The 13962-nt window shown below is 55.4% G+C and overlaps 1 protein-coding gene and 1 long non-coding RNA gene across 4 annotated transcripts in view, besides 5 other annotated features; both read right to left on the bottom strand.

The window, feature by feature from the left end:
• Window positions 730-789: an enhancer, noted in NCBI's record as "active region_22289". NCBI's record gives its function as "activates an Ori minimal core promoter by ATAC-STARR-seq in GM12878 lymphoblastoid cells {active_cell/tissue: GM12878}" and the evidence as "EXISTENCE:reporter gene assay evidence [ECO:0000049][PMID:35858748]".
• Window positions 800-859: an enhancer, noted in NCBI's record as "active region_22288". NCBI's record gives its function as "activates an Ori minimal core promoter by ATAC-STARR-seq in GM12878 lymphoblastoid cells {active_cell/tissue: GM12878}" and the evidence as "EXISTENCE:reporter gene assay evidence [ECO:0000049][PMID:35858748]".
• Window positions 1100-1249: an enhancer, noted in NCBI's record as "active region_22287". NCBI's record gives its function as "activates an Ori minimal core promoter by ATAC-STARR-seq in GM12878 lymphoblastoid cells {active_cell/tissue: GM12878}" and the evidence as "EXISTENCE:reporter gene assay evidence [ECO:0000049][PMID:35858748]".
• Window positions 3482-13962, bottom strand: part of PDCD6-AHRR (PDCD6-AHRR readthrough (NMD candidate)) — a 166640-nt gene continuing 156159 nt past the window's right edge. For both annotated transcript variants that reach the window (NR_165159.2, NR_165163.2), the window contains 4 exons: window positions 13761-13960; window positions 9243-9304; window positions 8820-8961; window positions 3482-7914 (listed from right to left, as the gene is read on the bottom strand). This is a non-coding gene — a long non-coding RNA (PDCD6-AHRR readthrough (NMD candidate)). The remainder of the gene's footprint in view (window positions 7915-8819; window positions 8962-9242; window positions 9305-13760; window positions 13961-13962) is intronic.
• AHRR (aryl hydrocarbon receptor repressor) overlaps window positions 3482-13962 on the bottom strand; it is a 116572-nt gene continuing 106091 nt past the window's right edge. For both annotated transcript variants that reach the window (NM_001377236.1, NM_001377239.1), the window contains exons 8-11: window positions 13761-13960; window positions 9243-9304; window positions 8820-8961; window positions 3482-7914 (exon numbers count right to left, since the gene is read on the bottom strand). In NM_001377236.1, the coding sequence (NP_001364165.1) occupies window positions 6933-7914; window positions 8820-8961; window positions 9243-9304; window positions 13761-13960 (1386 nt within the window). In that variant the 3' untranslated portion in view covers window positions 3482-6932. The remainder of the gene's footprint in view (window positions 7915-8819; window positions 8962-9242; window positions 9305-13760; window positions 13961-13962) is intronic.
• Window positions 10370-10489: an enhancer, noted in NCBI's record as "active region_22286". NCBI's record gives its function as "activates an Ori minimal core promoter by ATAC-STARR-seq in GM12878 lymphoblastoid cells {active_cell/tissue: GM12878}" and the evidence as "EXISTENCE:reporter gene assay evidence [ECO:0000049][PMID:35858748]".
• Window positions 10630-10909: an enhancer, noted in NCBI's record as "active region_22285". NCBI's record gives its function as "activates an Ori minimal core promoter by ATAC-STARR-seq in GM12878 lymphoblastoid cells {active_cell/tissue: GM12878}" and the evidence as "EXISTENCE:reporter gene assay evidence [ECO:0000049][PMID:35858748]".

Below are 13962 nucleotides of genomic sequence, written 5' to 3'. Positions count from 1 at the left end.
GAGGCAGGTAGATCATGAGGTCAGGAGATCGAGACCATCCTGGCTAACATGGTGAAACCCCGTCTCTACTAAAAAAAATACAAAAAAACTAGGCAGGTGTGGTGGTGGGCCCCTGGAGTCCCAGCTACTCGGGAGGCTGAGGCAGGAGAATGGCGTGAACCCGGGAGGCGGAGCTTGCAGTGAGCCAAGATCGCGCCACTGTACTCCAGCCTGGGCAACAGAGCGAGGCTCCGTCTCAAAAAAAAAAAAAAAAAAAAAAAAAAAAAAAAGGTATTTATTGGCTGGGCGCAGTGGCTCCTAACTGTAATCCCAGCACTTTGGGAGGCTGAGATGGGCAGACCCCTTGAGCCCAGGAGTTTGAGACCAGCCTGGGCAACATGGTCTTTTTGGTAGGAACCCCATCTCTACCAAAAAAAACCCCACAAAAATTAGCCAGGCATGGTGGTGCATGCCTGTAATCTCAGCTCCCTGGGAGGCTGAGGCAGGAGAATGGCTTCAACCCGGGAGGAGGAGGTTGCAGTGAACTGAGATGGCACCACTACACTCCAGCCTGGGTGACAGAGGGAGAATCTGTCTCAAAAAAAAAAGTTTCTTGACTTCTGTTTTTGGCAGACCATGTTCTGCGAACACCCAGGAGCACTGCTGAGTGCAAGCATCATGTCGATTGCACAAGTGGATTCACGAACAGGCAAGGACGTGACCAGGGACAAATGTGGGAAGGGGAGAGGACGTGAATCAGAAGCAGAGATGCTTGCCGTCCTACAGCAGGCAGGTGGGTGGGTAGGGTGCGAGTTCTGCGGCCCAGGGGTTGGGTTTTACACTGAAGCAGGACAGATGATGAAGCTAAGGCTCCCAGCAGGTGGGAGGTGGACGGCGACTCCCATGTGAAGCACAGATGTGCAAGGGATGCATCCTCAGTGAAAGCGTGGACTAGGAAAACAGCAACAGCCTGGAGACTGTTCCTAAACTCAGCCCTCGGCGGAAGCCAACCCAGGGTCATTGCTAGAGGGATCCTCCTCCACCTTGACAGGAGCAAACTCGAGGGGGAGGGAGGGGAGGGCACTGAAGCACCCACAGTCCTGACCCTGCTCTGGGAGAATAGAGACCGTGCTTAGCTCCTGCTTAGACCTTGTTAAATGCCCACATTAAGGTTAGCCACTACAGAAATAGAAACAGGAAGAGAGAAAATGCAGGCAACAGCACAGAGACTGCAGGCAAGGAGAAGATGAGGACCCTGTGTTGAAATGTATCAGTAATGAGAACACAAGTAAGTGGATTAGAAACAGTGAAACATTCATAGGCGAACATCTAAAGCATCAAGAAACAACGATTAGAACTGGAGGCTTTTCACACGTGGGTCAGCCAGGCCCGAGAAGCTGGTGTGGGGATATGAATATCAAACAACATGGGTTTTTGGTCAAAAGCCACTGTCAAAGATAGTTATTTTCCTAAGATGCAAAATGCATAAGCCATAAAGAATAAAATAGAAAAGTTGCTATATTAAAATCTTAAACTCTTGTGGGATATAATTTTTAAATCCTTAAGTGAAAAGCCAAGCCACAGACTGAGGGAAAACATTGTCAGCATCTGTAACTGACAAGAAAATTGCTATCCAGAATAAAAACAGAACTCCTGCAAATTGATCTAAAAGGGCAAACAAGTGCAGCAAGAAACGGGTAAAGGACAAGAGCCACTGGCTCCGGGGAATAAGCTGCTTCCCTCGGCCTTCAGGGAGACCTTGTCCCCACACCCTCCCCACGGGGCCCTGCTGAAGCCTCTGAGCCATGACTAGGGTGTCCGTTGACCTGACCAGACCATGAGCCATGACCCAGGCCCTGCTCTATTGTCAGCCAGACCTCACTGCGGCCATGCAGCCTCCCCCACTCGCTATTCAGCTCCAGCCGTCCATACGTCCTGCATAAAACTGCCCCCAAAGACCTGGGCCACCCCCAGCCCCAGCTCTGTGCACCTGCAAAGCACCGGTCCCCTCCATGCCCCGCAGAGTTTACGGGGTTCTCATGGTCACGTTCAGCTGCCTGCACCCCTTCCCCCTGCACACGCACACACCGCACATCACACATGTTCAGACGCCAGCTCTGGGACAGCACTGATGTCTGCATCGTTTTCTCCTGAATGCGTCCCCAGCACTGGTGCAGGGCCTGATACTCAACAAGGACTAAAAATATGCCGAATGAATAAACAAAATGCACATAAAACAGCTGCCGTTTCATCCCTTCAGAAGCCCAAGACTGAAAAAGTCTGTCCACACAGGTGCCAGTGTGGGGTGAGGATGGGAGCCCAGGAGGTGTGGCTGGTAGAAGGGAGGCCAAGTGGGTGCAGCCCCTCTGGAGGACGCTGGGCAGCGCCTGGTGAGATGAAATTGTGTGCGTCCAGCTGGGCGTGGTGGCTCACATCTGTAATTCCAGCATTTTGGGAGGCCGAGGTAGGCTGATCATGTGAGGCCAGGAGTTTTAGACCAGCCAGGCCAACAAGGTGAAACCCAGTCTCTACTAAAAATACAAAAATTAGCTGGGCGTGGTGGTGGATGCCTGTAGTCCCAGCTACTCTGGAGGCTGAGGTGGGAGAATCACTTAAACCTGAGAAGTGGAGGCTGCAGTGAGCCGAGACTGCACCACTGCACTCCAGCCTAGGCAGCAGAGTGAGACTCCATCTCAGGAAAAAAAAAGAAAAGAAAAGAAAAAAGAATTGTATGCGTTCCAACTCCACACAGGCACACTCAGCAGAAGCCAGACTGGGGGTGAGGAGTGAAAATGCGGGAACTCCATCTGCCTGAGGCCACAGAGGAGAGGGCATGGGGGGCAGGGTGGGTCAAGTTGTGGGGCCACAGATGGGAGGGCTGGCCTGGTCCTGGGGGAGGACACGGGAGTCTTACACGAGTGACCAGGACGGGTTTGCTGATGGGCTGCAGGGTGCGAAGGAGGCCTGGCAGGGGCTGCGCAGGCTCTAAAGATGCCTGAAAGGAAACAAAAGCGCAGCTCCCTGGGCCTTGGACTGCCGTTTGTGCTTAAGGAGACCCCAGCACTTTTTTCGATGGCATTGAGGGGTCTGGCCGTAATCTGCCTGGGCCCTTCCCCCTTCCCATGGGCTTGTCGTGCAGGCCCTGTGCCAGGCAGGGTGGACCCCGCATGGCCCCGGACCCACAGTGCCCTCAGCTCTACCCTCCTCACTTCTTACAGGACGGGTCAGGTCTGGGACGTCCTGAGAGCACCCAGGAGGGGCCCTGACCCTCAGTGACAGGGGAGGGGGGCCTAGGCCCTCTCTAGATGCCACTGGTCAGGAGCAGGGAGATGGCAGGCATTTTCTCCTCCTTCACGAGGCTTGCGGCTCTAGAGTTTTTATTTTTATTGCTGCCTTATATTTAGTGGTGAAAGGCTGTCTTAGAATGTAGATTAACCAGCACACTCTTTAAAGGAAATAAAGTGACTTTGGAAAATCACGCAGACTTCCGCAAACATTTAAATTTTTGTTAAACATGTACTAGCATGTCATGTATTTTACATCAATATTGCAAATTTAATACAAACCACAGTACAAAAAAATTTGAAAGCTTCCTAAAGGCACTGAGAAAGCAGTAGAGAAAGTTGCATTTATAGTGCATAAGTTTTAAAAATTCAACAAGTTGGTCTAGGTATTGAAAACTTTTTTCTTCCAGTAGAAACTGCAAAAATATAAGTTGTATTGATCTCCTCCCTTCCATCCCATTCCCACCTTATATTTGACTTTAATACTTTTTCAGCTATATAGGGAAAAGCTACATACACAGAAAAACATGAACCTGTAATTAGTGCTAACAATGACATTTTAGAGAGAAGTGATACATCCACACTTTCTATGTTCCATAGTCTTCCCCACTGTTTTCCAAGAGGGTTGTGGCTATAAAATAACCAAAGTGCTGACTTGGGGAGTTTTTGTTGCCGTTGAGGAAGGGATGTCGGACACCTCGCTGATCCCAGGCTCTCAGGGCCGCAGCCTCCTGTAGGGTCCCCACACCACAAAACCGGCAGAGCCAACACCCACGTGCTGAGTGCAGCGTCAACACAGCGTGGCCTGCCTGGCAGCAACCCACCACTCAATCTGGCACCTGTCACCAGGAGGGCCTTGGGCAGGGGCGCATCTAAAGGTCTGGGAGGCTGCAGGGCAGGACGTGGTGAAGAAGCCTCCTGGGCAGGGGCTGCCGTCTGTGCTTAAGGAGGCCCCAGTGCTCCTTTGATGACACTGAAGGGCCTGGCTACAATCGCAAACACGCAGCCACGTCTCTGATTCGATCTTTGGGGCCTGGTGTTTTTCCCAGTGACAGCCGTTGGCTCCAGGACACTCAAGACATGTGATACACAAGACTCTCAGTCACTGAGCTCCCTGCCCTCCTCGGCCCCGAGACTGGAAGAGCAGCTGCCACGTTTGGGACCCAGGCGGCGCCCAGGCTGAAGGGAGCTGCTGAGGGCTAAGCTCCAGGACACAGGACGTGGCTGGCCCTCAGAACAGGGAACTCCAAGAGTGGAACATGCATGTTGATTGAGACTTTTTCAGGGATACAGCAGATCTGATTTTTAATTATTTTTTGTAGAGACACATTCTTCCTGTGTTGCCCAGGCTGGTCTTGAACTCCTGGGCTTAAGCGATCCTCCTACCTTGACCTCCTAAAGTGCTGGGATTATAGGCATGAGCCACTGCGCCTGGCCTGCAGGCCTAATTATTAAGGGTCTTTCCATGATCAGCAAAGGAGCTGGGCACTCGGTTAGAATAGGAAGGAAGTGGGAAGCTTCTGAAATACCATCCTGGTCTTAAATCCATAAATGCCCAGAGGCCAGAAGTGTGCCATGCTCAGCATGAGAAATGAATAAAGAGGGGCTCTGTGCCAGTGTAGGGCCAAAGTGGGAAGTAGGCGCCAGTCCTCAGGTGCCTGGTCTTCACAGGTGCCTGCTCTCCACAGGTGACTGACCCTCAGGTGGCTGGTCACCCCATGGCTGGCCCCTGGGTAGCTCTGTCCCCATCGTGACTTTAGGCATCAGATAAGGGAGAGATGGCAGTGGAAGGCCATGAGCACGTCTCACACCCACGACAGCACAGCATGGAGGTCACCTTTTGAAAGACGCCCCCTGGCTAAGCAGAGAGTGAGTGCCCCCTCGGTAGGGCTTGGGGGTCATAGGGGGCCACGATGGATCTGTGACTCTGGGCTCAGATGGTTGGCTGTTCTCTTCCAGTACTGAGAGGAGATCCTTATCCCTATCCCTGCCACATGGGGGCAAACTGTCCAAGAACCAGGCCACTGAGAGGCGCAGGCACCTGGCATTGGGCAGAAGACCCAGTCCTGCCAACCAAACCTGGGTTTTGACAAAGTGAAGGTGCGTTTAACAAATGGGTCCAGCATTAAACCAGCATCTAAGTAAGCACTGACACCTCAAAGCCACTGACAACAGAGAGGGCGTCCACACAGGAGGCAGAATGCACAGTGCGGCGGGGTGGTGGGTCCCTAGGGGTGGTGGGTCCCTCACCCGCGGGCCAACAACAGAGAGGGCGTCCACACGGGAGGCACAATGCACAGTGCAGCGGGGTGGTGGGTCCCTCACCCATGGGCTCCCACAGCTCCTGCCACTCCCAGTGGAGCTGACGTCAGGGCGCCGATGCCCTCTCCCTGAGGATGGGGCCTTCCCACCCCCGCACAGGTGGGCCCAGCTGCAGCCACACCCCAGGGCCTCACTGCCTGGCTTCCTCTTGCTTGGGGTGACTTCTACACCCTGATCTGATGCCTGCACCAGCCGGGTGGGGTTCCAGGCCAGACCGTGGAAGAAGCCTGAAATGCACCATCAGCTGTAGGTTCTCGGGTTGGTGGATTGGTGACCTTCACTTTCTGACTTATGCTTTTGTATCCAAATTTCCTACTCTCAGAAAATATCGCCTTTACAACTGTTTTAATGCTATTAATACTTGTCTGTCTTGTCCCTAATTATTCTCCTAGGATGGCAATGGGAACCCTCATTTGAGTGAACTGTACAGCCAGCCAGAGAGAAACCCCCACAGGCAGCGCAGTTTCCTGTGTCTTCTCTCTACGTTGTGTGTTTCTCTGTACTTCCAAACCCGGAGTCTGTGAACTCTGTATTACGTGATGTACCAAGAGGCAGATTAGGAAGAACCGTCCGCAGAGACCCACTGAGAACTCGGGAGATGTCCAGAAGGAACAGGGGTTATGCTGTCAATTCCAGTCCAGGTCTGGCCTCAGACTCTGTCATGGCGCCATGGAGCACCTGCCGCACGGTGTGGGGCAGTGTGGGACCCACGCTGCCAGCCTCTGCTGCCTGGAACGTTCTAGATTCCTCTATGAGTGGGCTCACGGACCCCTTTCTCCGCGTGTTGTATTTCTAATTTGCCGTGTGCTGGCCTCTACAGTGCACTGTGGCGATGGGCTGACCCTGCCTGCACAGCACAGGCTGGGAGCTGCAGGTGGCCTGGGAGGGCTGAGCTAGGTGTGTCACCCGACCGCTTCATCCCCGACTGCGGACTTGGGAGCATCACCCGACCGCTTCATCCCCGACTGCGGACTTGGGAGCATCACCCGACTGCTTCATCCCCGACTGTGGACTTGGCAGCCATGGGACGGGTGCTCGCTGCCTCTGGGGCATGAAGCTGTCCAGCCATGATCACTTTCCTAAAGATTTTAATTCCTCAAAGAGAAATGCTGTCATGCTTGAATAGACTTAAGGCCAGTTTTCATTTAAGAACTGTTGGGATATTTTACAAAATTCAGGATAGGCTCCTGCGTATGCTGCACACACACACTAGCAGACTGCGCATGCACAGCTCTGCAAAGCGTGTGTCTTAGGACGGGCTCCGGCCTGACCAGGAGCAGGGCAGCCCAGCCACCGACGCATCTGAGCGTAGACACACAGATCTGAGCTTGGATGGTGGTCACTGCGCTATGGCAGGAATGTGCACCCCGAAGCTTGGGGCGGGACCAGCGTGGCCAAGGCACTTTTGGGCAACATCCCGGGCACCATTCCCTGGCTGTGAGTAGCCCACTGGGGTGAGTCCAAGGGCTCCCGCTTGACCACAGGGGCGGCCTCAGCAGCTCTGCAGGTGCAGGACTGTTCACCTCGGCCCCGTGCACAGAGCTGGTGGGGAGGCTCCGACTGGGGAAGGCCGTCTGTGGGCTCCAGGCAGGCACAGTGTGCAGGGTGGAAAGGGGTCAGCTCCCTGCTGCGCCCAGCAGTGGCCCTCCCATGGGGCTGAGCCCCCCGCACGCCGTGCCCCAGGTGCGAGATGTACACCTGTTGCCGAGAGTCTGGCTCTGTTTTCAGGTGCATCCTGGTAGGGAAGGTGGCTGGGTGGCTCCTGTCACTGGCCCCCAGCCACACCTGGCTGGGCACACAGCCGTCTGCAGCACCCTCACACCCAGAGTCCTTCTCCATCTTGATGGACACATCTAGCAGCAGCGTCGGACCACACAGGTCCCCCGGAGGCATCGGTACACCTTGCAGCTTCATGTCCTCCATGGGATAGCCCCTCGTGGCAAAACGCTGAGCTCCAGGCTGAGGGAGCTGGTGCTGCAGGCTCCTCTGGGGAAAGTGGCAGAGGGGAGGGTGCACCTGGTCCTCACCGACATCCCGCATGGGTCTGCTGGTCCGGCTGGAGTAGGCACTGGGGGACGGGCTCGGCGGGTGAGAGATGGGCGAGTTCCTGAAAGTGCCCTGGACACACGGGCAGGGCAGGCAGGAGCCGCGGGGCATGGGGCGCAGGGAGGGCGGGTCATTCTTGCTGGGCTGCAGCCTCGGCCTGGCACCATCCTCACTGTGCTTTCCCGCTGTCCAGGGCAGGGGCTTTGTGGGTCCTGGAGTCTCCCTCCGCCCTGTCACTCCAGAGGCCCTGCTCAGCATCCTGTGCTGCTCCTCCTCCCTGTCCCTGCAGAGAAAAGACGGGGCCCATTTGACAGCAGCTGAAGACACCAGGTCTGGCTGCCCTGGGTGGGGGTCTCTAAGGGAGGCTACGAAATCAGGACGATGCTAAATCTGCCAAGGCTGCTACACCGACCCCTCACTGCGCTGTGCCTTCTAACCCCCCCAGCAGCCCAGGAGGCTGTGCCAGCACCCCACCCCCACTGCGTGCCTGGGGCGAGTGAGGAAGGCCCAGGGTGGGGCGAGGGTGCAGGCTTCAGGGAGATGTCTCTGTGAGGCCTATGCCAGCTGTCCAGTGTCAGCCACACCAGTCACTAGCGTTAGGGGTGGGGAAGGGCGGTGCAAATGGTCCCAGGGAACTGCAAAGCAGAAAACACCATGTCCAGCAGTTTCTGTGGCCAAGCTCTGCTGCTGACCAACAGGACACCACGTGCCTTGGGACTGGCACTGCATGACTGTGAGATGGTGACCTGGAGAGTGGGGAGGGGCCTGTGGGGCACAGCTGGGCTGGTCAGGAAAGGGGAGGAGGCCCACCTGGGTGGCAGGCAGGCCCTGGGGAGGGAGAGGGGGGAGAGAGGGCTCTGAGCAAAGGCAAGATGAGGTTGGAGCCGGGTGACCCAGGGTCCGAGTGACAGGTGAGGGCGGGTCCCAGAGCCCACGGGGCATCCTCGCTCCCAACATCCCTGGACCACTGCTTCCCGGGGTCAGTCCCCAGCGACACACGTGACTTCCAGTCCGGGAAGCTGTGTGGACAGCTCCACAGAGAGTAAGGTTAGCTGTGGCTCGTGTGGTGGCCAAGGCTGCTGTCGTCTTTTTTATTTTTCTTCTTAATCACTCCCCCACCCGCTCTTTGGCCTCCACGGTGACTTAGGGAGCTGCCAGGGCTGGGGGAGGCTGCCTGGCACCACTTACCCTGAGCCCCCCTTGGGGTCAAGGACAAGGTCAGGGCCACCCCGGAGGCACAGGCATGGGGCCCTGGCGGGAACCTGTGCCCATCGGCCAGCGTCAGTCTGTTCCCTGAGCACCAAAACGCCGCTCTCTCTGCTGCTCCTTCCTGTTGGGGTTTAGAGGGGGGGGAAGCCGTCACGGTGCGAGCTGAGGAGCTCCTGGAAGACGGTTGCTTGTTCTCAGCAAGGCAGGACCCATCGGCTCCTCAGAAATGCACAGACCAGAGCCCAGGAACGGCACTTGTCCACAGCAGGACAGACACCAAGTCTCTGCAAAATGGCTTTTCCATGGAATACGCCAACATCTCCACTGGGCGGGGAAGCTCTCCAAGGGCAGAAACACATTTTACCCATGTGGAAAAGATCAGATAAGAAATGTTCTAAGTACCTGCTGAGTAATTGGGTTTTCCATGCAGTTCCGATTCGCACAGACTGGTGGTGGCTTTTACTCTGTGAAGAACACAGATGAACATGTGACATGTGACGGATGAACAAGATGACATGTGGATGAAACATGTTTTGATGGTAGAAATTAATAATGACAGGTATTGCTGTCACACCTGAGCAGTGAAGACAGAAACAATAGTTCACTCTTGTTTAATTCTTTATAGTGTGGAAAGTTATTTTCTCAGTTACAGGTTTACTGAAAATATTGTCACGTCACTTTTCAGGCCAATGAAGGGCTAATGAATTTGCTTCAGAAAGTAGAAGGATAAAATCATAGGATGATTTTTAGAGCTTATATTTTTTTCCTGGAAGGCCAGAAAGAAAATACGGTCCATTCTCATGACTCCAGGTAGTTATGTTCCAGGAAGTGAACACTGAGGTGAGTTGGAGACCAACTCACACGGGACATGTGTGTGTACCCACACACGCATCACACTGATCTGAATCTTAAATCCCAACAACTCACCCTGGTAGATTCTATTTTCTTTTGCTTTTCAAAAGAGAAACAGTAAGTAGCGCTGCCCCACCAGCAGGTCCCAGAGTTGAGTTCAAACCCATCTGACTGGCCCCACAGCCACAGCTCCGGTGCTGCCCTCCTCTCTGTCCTCTGGGCACCTCCAGGAGGCCCATGACTAACACAAGACTCACAATGCCCCATCTATGTCCATGAATGGCTGCAAAGCACAGGGTGTGTTGACATGGGGGTCCCAGTGAATTATGGCGAGCAGAGGAATTCACAGAATGGGCTTCAGGAAGAGGCAGATCAAGATCATGTCACAAAACCCCTGTGGGAAAAGCTGTGGAAGACTGGGGGGCTGTTGGGGGCTGCTAGGGGCCGCTGCTGGGGGCCATGGGGGCTGCTGTTGGGGGCCGCTGGAGGCTGCTGCCACTGCCTCAGGGCTCTGATTCTGCAGAATGCACCTTGCATCTTGCACCACTGTGGTGCCCTGGACCACAGTCCTGCGGCTCAGGACTGGTGGACCACAAGGTGTATCCTGAAAGCCGGCTTCTGAATCCAGCTCAGAGCAGGGTGGGGAGAATTCCAAAAGCCTTCGGCTCATGGGAGTCAGTATTCTTGGTTTGGCAAGTTTTCTTCCCCCTTCTGAGTTTGAATAACATGTTTGTTGAGCTGAAGTTGTGTGCCAGCTTTATGTGCCTTGGGCTCCACCCCACCCTCACAGCCCCACAGGGGGTCTCGTCCAGGCCGCAGGAGGAGCGCTGTGACCTTCGGCCCCACACCTGAGCTTGTGATCCCACACCTACGCTCCACCCCAGGGCCGGGACAGGGCTGTGCGCACACAGGGCCAGGCCTGCCCTGCCCTGCTCTGACACCAGGGGGCTGCGTCCCCTCTGCTTCTAGGGTTGGGAACTCCCAGGGAAGACCGGGCTTGCCATGTGCAGTGGAAACTCCACGGTGACGGTAAGCGGAGGACAGTGTTCCAGGGTTTGCGTGGTCCCTGTAGGTGCCGGAAGACCTGGGCCCGAGCCCTGCAGAGACCCCAGGTCCTTTTCTGTGCACCTATGTAGCATTTACTTCTTTTCCCTTTAGAATTCTATGTTCCTCCCTTGCACTCTACATTTCCATCCTTTAAAATAAGGTACATACATTTAATTTAAAACCTTCCAGAGATGTGTGGGCCTCAGCAGGCTGACCCGTGTCCTGGCCGTCCCTGGAGCTGCCCTCTGTCCACCCTCAGACAGCAGCAGTGAGGTGGGGCTAGCAGGGCCCAGGCAGAAGCTGCTCATAAGCAGAAATGAGTAACGAACGTGGAAACCAACACAGCATGAAAACCTTCAAATAACCGCTGCTGCTGTCAGACTGTAGAGCTGTCTAAACGGTTATCTGAAAGAGGTCAAAGGTGAGGATGGAACTCACGCCCACAACAGAGACCACCGTGAGTGCCGGCAAGGTGGCCTTGGGGCCTGCAGACAGAAGCCCTTCACAGTCAACCCTGGACACTGAGCAGGGCGTCCCAGAGCCTCCAAGGTCCTCCTTTGCAGGTCCCCTGGGGCGAAAGGGCCCTCGGCCGTATCCTCTGCATCGGGAAGCCAGCAGGCGTGTGACGGGGTCCTCCCAGAGGGGGCTCAGTGGCGGGTCCTGGTGCTCCCACGGAGGGCACGGGTGTGAATACAGAAGATGTGCTGCCCGTCAAAGGCGCCAAAGAACAGGAGGGACGGCAGCGTGCCGGGTGCTGCTGAGTCCCAGATCTCAAACTAGTTCGGGAGCCTGGACTCTGACAAGGTCAGTCAAGACCGCATCTAAAAAATGAAATTGAATACTAATGGAAGTTAAGGAATGCAGCTAGAATTCAAAGTCGGACCACAAGGCAACACACGTGACTGCAACTTAAGATCACCCCAACGCGCCTGCCACAGCAGGTACAGCAGTAAAGGCAGCGCCCAGAACAGGGCGGGGACGTCTGCTCCGGTCTGCACAGCTCCATCTGCTGTGAACATCCCCGGGGCTGTCCATGCACAGAGGAGGAGCATCGGAATCAGGACATATCTGGAAACCGTAACCCGGGGCAAGGCAAACAGAGCAGAGAGCGCTCAGCCAACACAGGGCCGTGGCAACCCCAGGCAGTGAGATTCGAGTCACACCACGAAGAATCTGCTCTCAAGGTTCTGTCTGAACCCAGCAATGTTTTCCGTGTGGGGTTTGTGCAGCCTCAGCCAATCACTCCTGGGCGCTATGCCAGAGATTCCCACTGGGCTGGCTGGGGAGCTGAATTCGACGCCTGCTAAGATTCCTTTCCCACTCAGTATTTGCTACCCACAGAGTGGGGAGGCCACGAACAAAGCGGGCTGCCCAGTGGCGGCTGCAGGATCGCGCGGCAAGGCTGAGCTGCACTTGGTTACCAGGGCCTGGGCCTGCAGCGCCGAGGGGCCGAGGACAAGTCGGGTGGGTCTCGGAGTCACAGAGCAGGAGCACCTCACCGACAGCCAAGGACCCGGGGGCTGAGGGCCAGGGGGCAGGGGCAGGGCCGGCCCAGACCACCCCTCTGCCCTGCGCTCAGCCCCGCCCCATCAGGCTGTCCCAGGAGGAAGTGGCAGGAGCGGCAACTCGCCCAGGTGGCCGGGGAAGGGGTCCTGCACGATTCTCTGAGAGGAAGTTGGATCTCCGGCATCCTGGCGGCCCCGGCCCTACCTCACTCCTGCAAGATTCTCTGAGAGGAAGTTGGATCTCTGGCATCCTGGCGGCCCAGCCCTACCTCACTCCTGCACGATTCTCTGAGAGGAAGTTGGATCTCTGGCATCCTGGCAGCCCCGGCCCTACCTCACTGGTGTGTTCCCAGCAGGTGGAACACAGTTTCTATAGGCACAGCATTTGCATCTCTCCCAGCACGCAAGGCAGACTTAACACATTCTAGGAAACTATAGACACGAATCCCCAAGGGCAGGGGTCCCCAGCCCCCAGCCACAGATTGGTACCCGTCCATGGCCTCTAGGAGCCAAGCTGCATGGCAGGAGGTGGGCCCTGCGCAAGCGAGTGAAGCTTCATCTATATTTACAGCCACTCCCCACTGCTCGCGTGACCGCCAGAGCTCCACTGCCTGTCAGCTCAGCTGGGGCATGATTCTCACAGGACTGTGAACCCTGTTGTGAACTGTGCATGTGAGGGAGAGCCCTAGGTTCGAGCTCATGAGAATCTAATGCCTGATGATCTGTCACTGTCTCCCATCACCCCCACCCCCGCCATGGGGCCGCCTAGTTACAGGAAAACAAGCTCAGAGCTACCACTGGTTCTACATTATGCCAAGTTGTATAATTATTTCATTATATATTACAATGTAATAAAACAGAAATGAAATGCATAGTGAGTAAACGTAATGTGCTTGAATCATCCTGAAACCATCCCCCCACTCCCAGTCTGTGGAAAAATTGTCTTCCACCAAACTGGTCCCTAGTACCAACAAGCTCGGGGACCAACAGGGTGTTTTCTACTTCTGAAAGGCTGAGGGAGCTGTGGGTAGGCCTGGGTTGGCCAGGGACGAGGACCAGCTGGAGGGGCAGCTGTGCCGTTCACCCTCCATCTGCCCACCAGGGACGCATCTCTCCGGCATGTCCTGCAGCCGGGAACTACCTCCACTTGTCCATAGACAGACGGTGTGAAGGGCGGGCAGCCAAGAGATGGAGAAAGGCAGGGGCCACAGCCAGCTCCGCATTTTCTTGAGGACACGGGGTCAGGACACTTATTCTGAAACTGGTTCTGTAACAGGATGATTTAGGAATGAATCGATACAGGCAACGTTTGGTGCCAGTTTGCAAATACGAGTTTGAAAAACATTGTTTCATCTAATCGCTGCTGCCTATGTTGTGTAATGACTTTTACGACACGAAACTGACTTATTACTGGCTGGAAATGAAGAAAGAAGACACAGAAAACACTGAGTGTGGAGGTGTTTTGTGGGGGCCGCCAGCAGGCACCATGTGGCTGTGAAGGGCGAGTCTTACTCACTTTGCATCCGCGGTGGCTGCGGTGTCTGCTCTGGGTTTTGCCCTCAGGAGCGCGCTCCTCATTTTCATCTCCGCTGCGGAGGGGAGGAGAACGGGTGCCGCAATGCAGAACAGCGACAGCCGCGGCGGGAGCATGGCTCCTGACGGCGCCTTCTTCTTCTGTCCAAACAGGAATTTTAGTTTTCCTTGAAACTGCATCGTCT

The sequence above is a fragment of the Homo sapiens genome, chromosome 5, assembly GCF_000001405.40.
Source record: "Homo sapiens chromosome 5, GRCh38.p14 Primary Assembly".
Taxonomy (NCBI): domain Eukaryota; kingdom Metazoa; phylum Chordata; class Mammalia; order Primates; family Hominidae; genus Homo; species Homo sapiens.
Note: the sequence above shows the minus strand (reverse complement) of the source record. Positions and strands in the feature narration are given on the sequence as shown.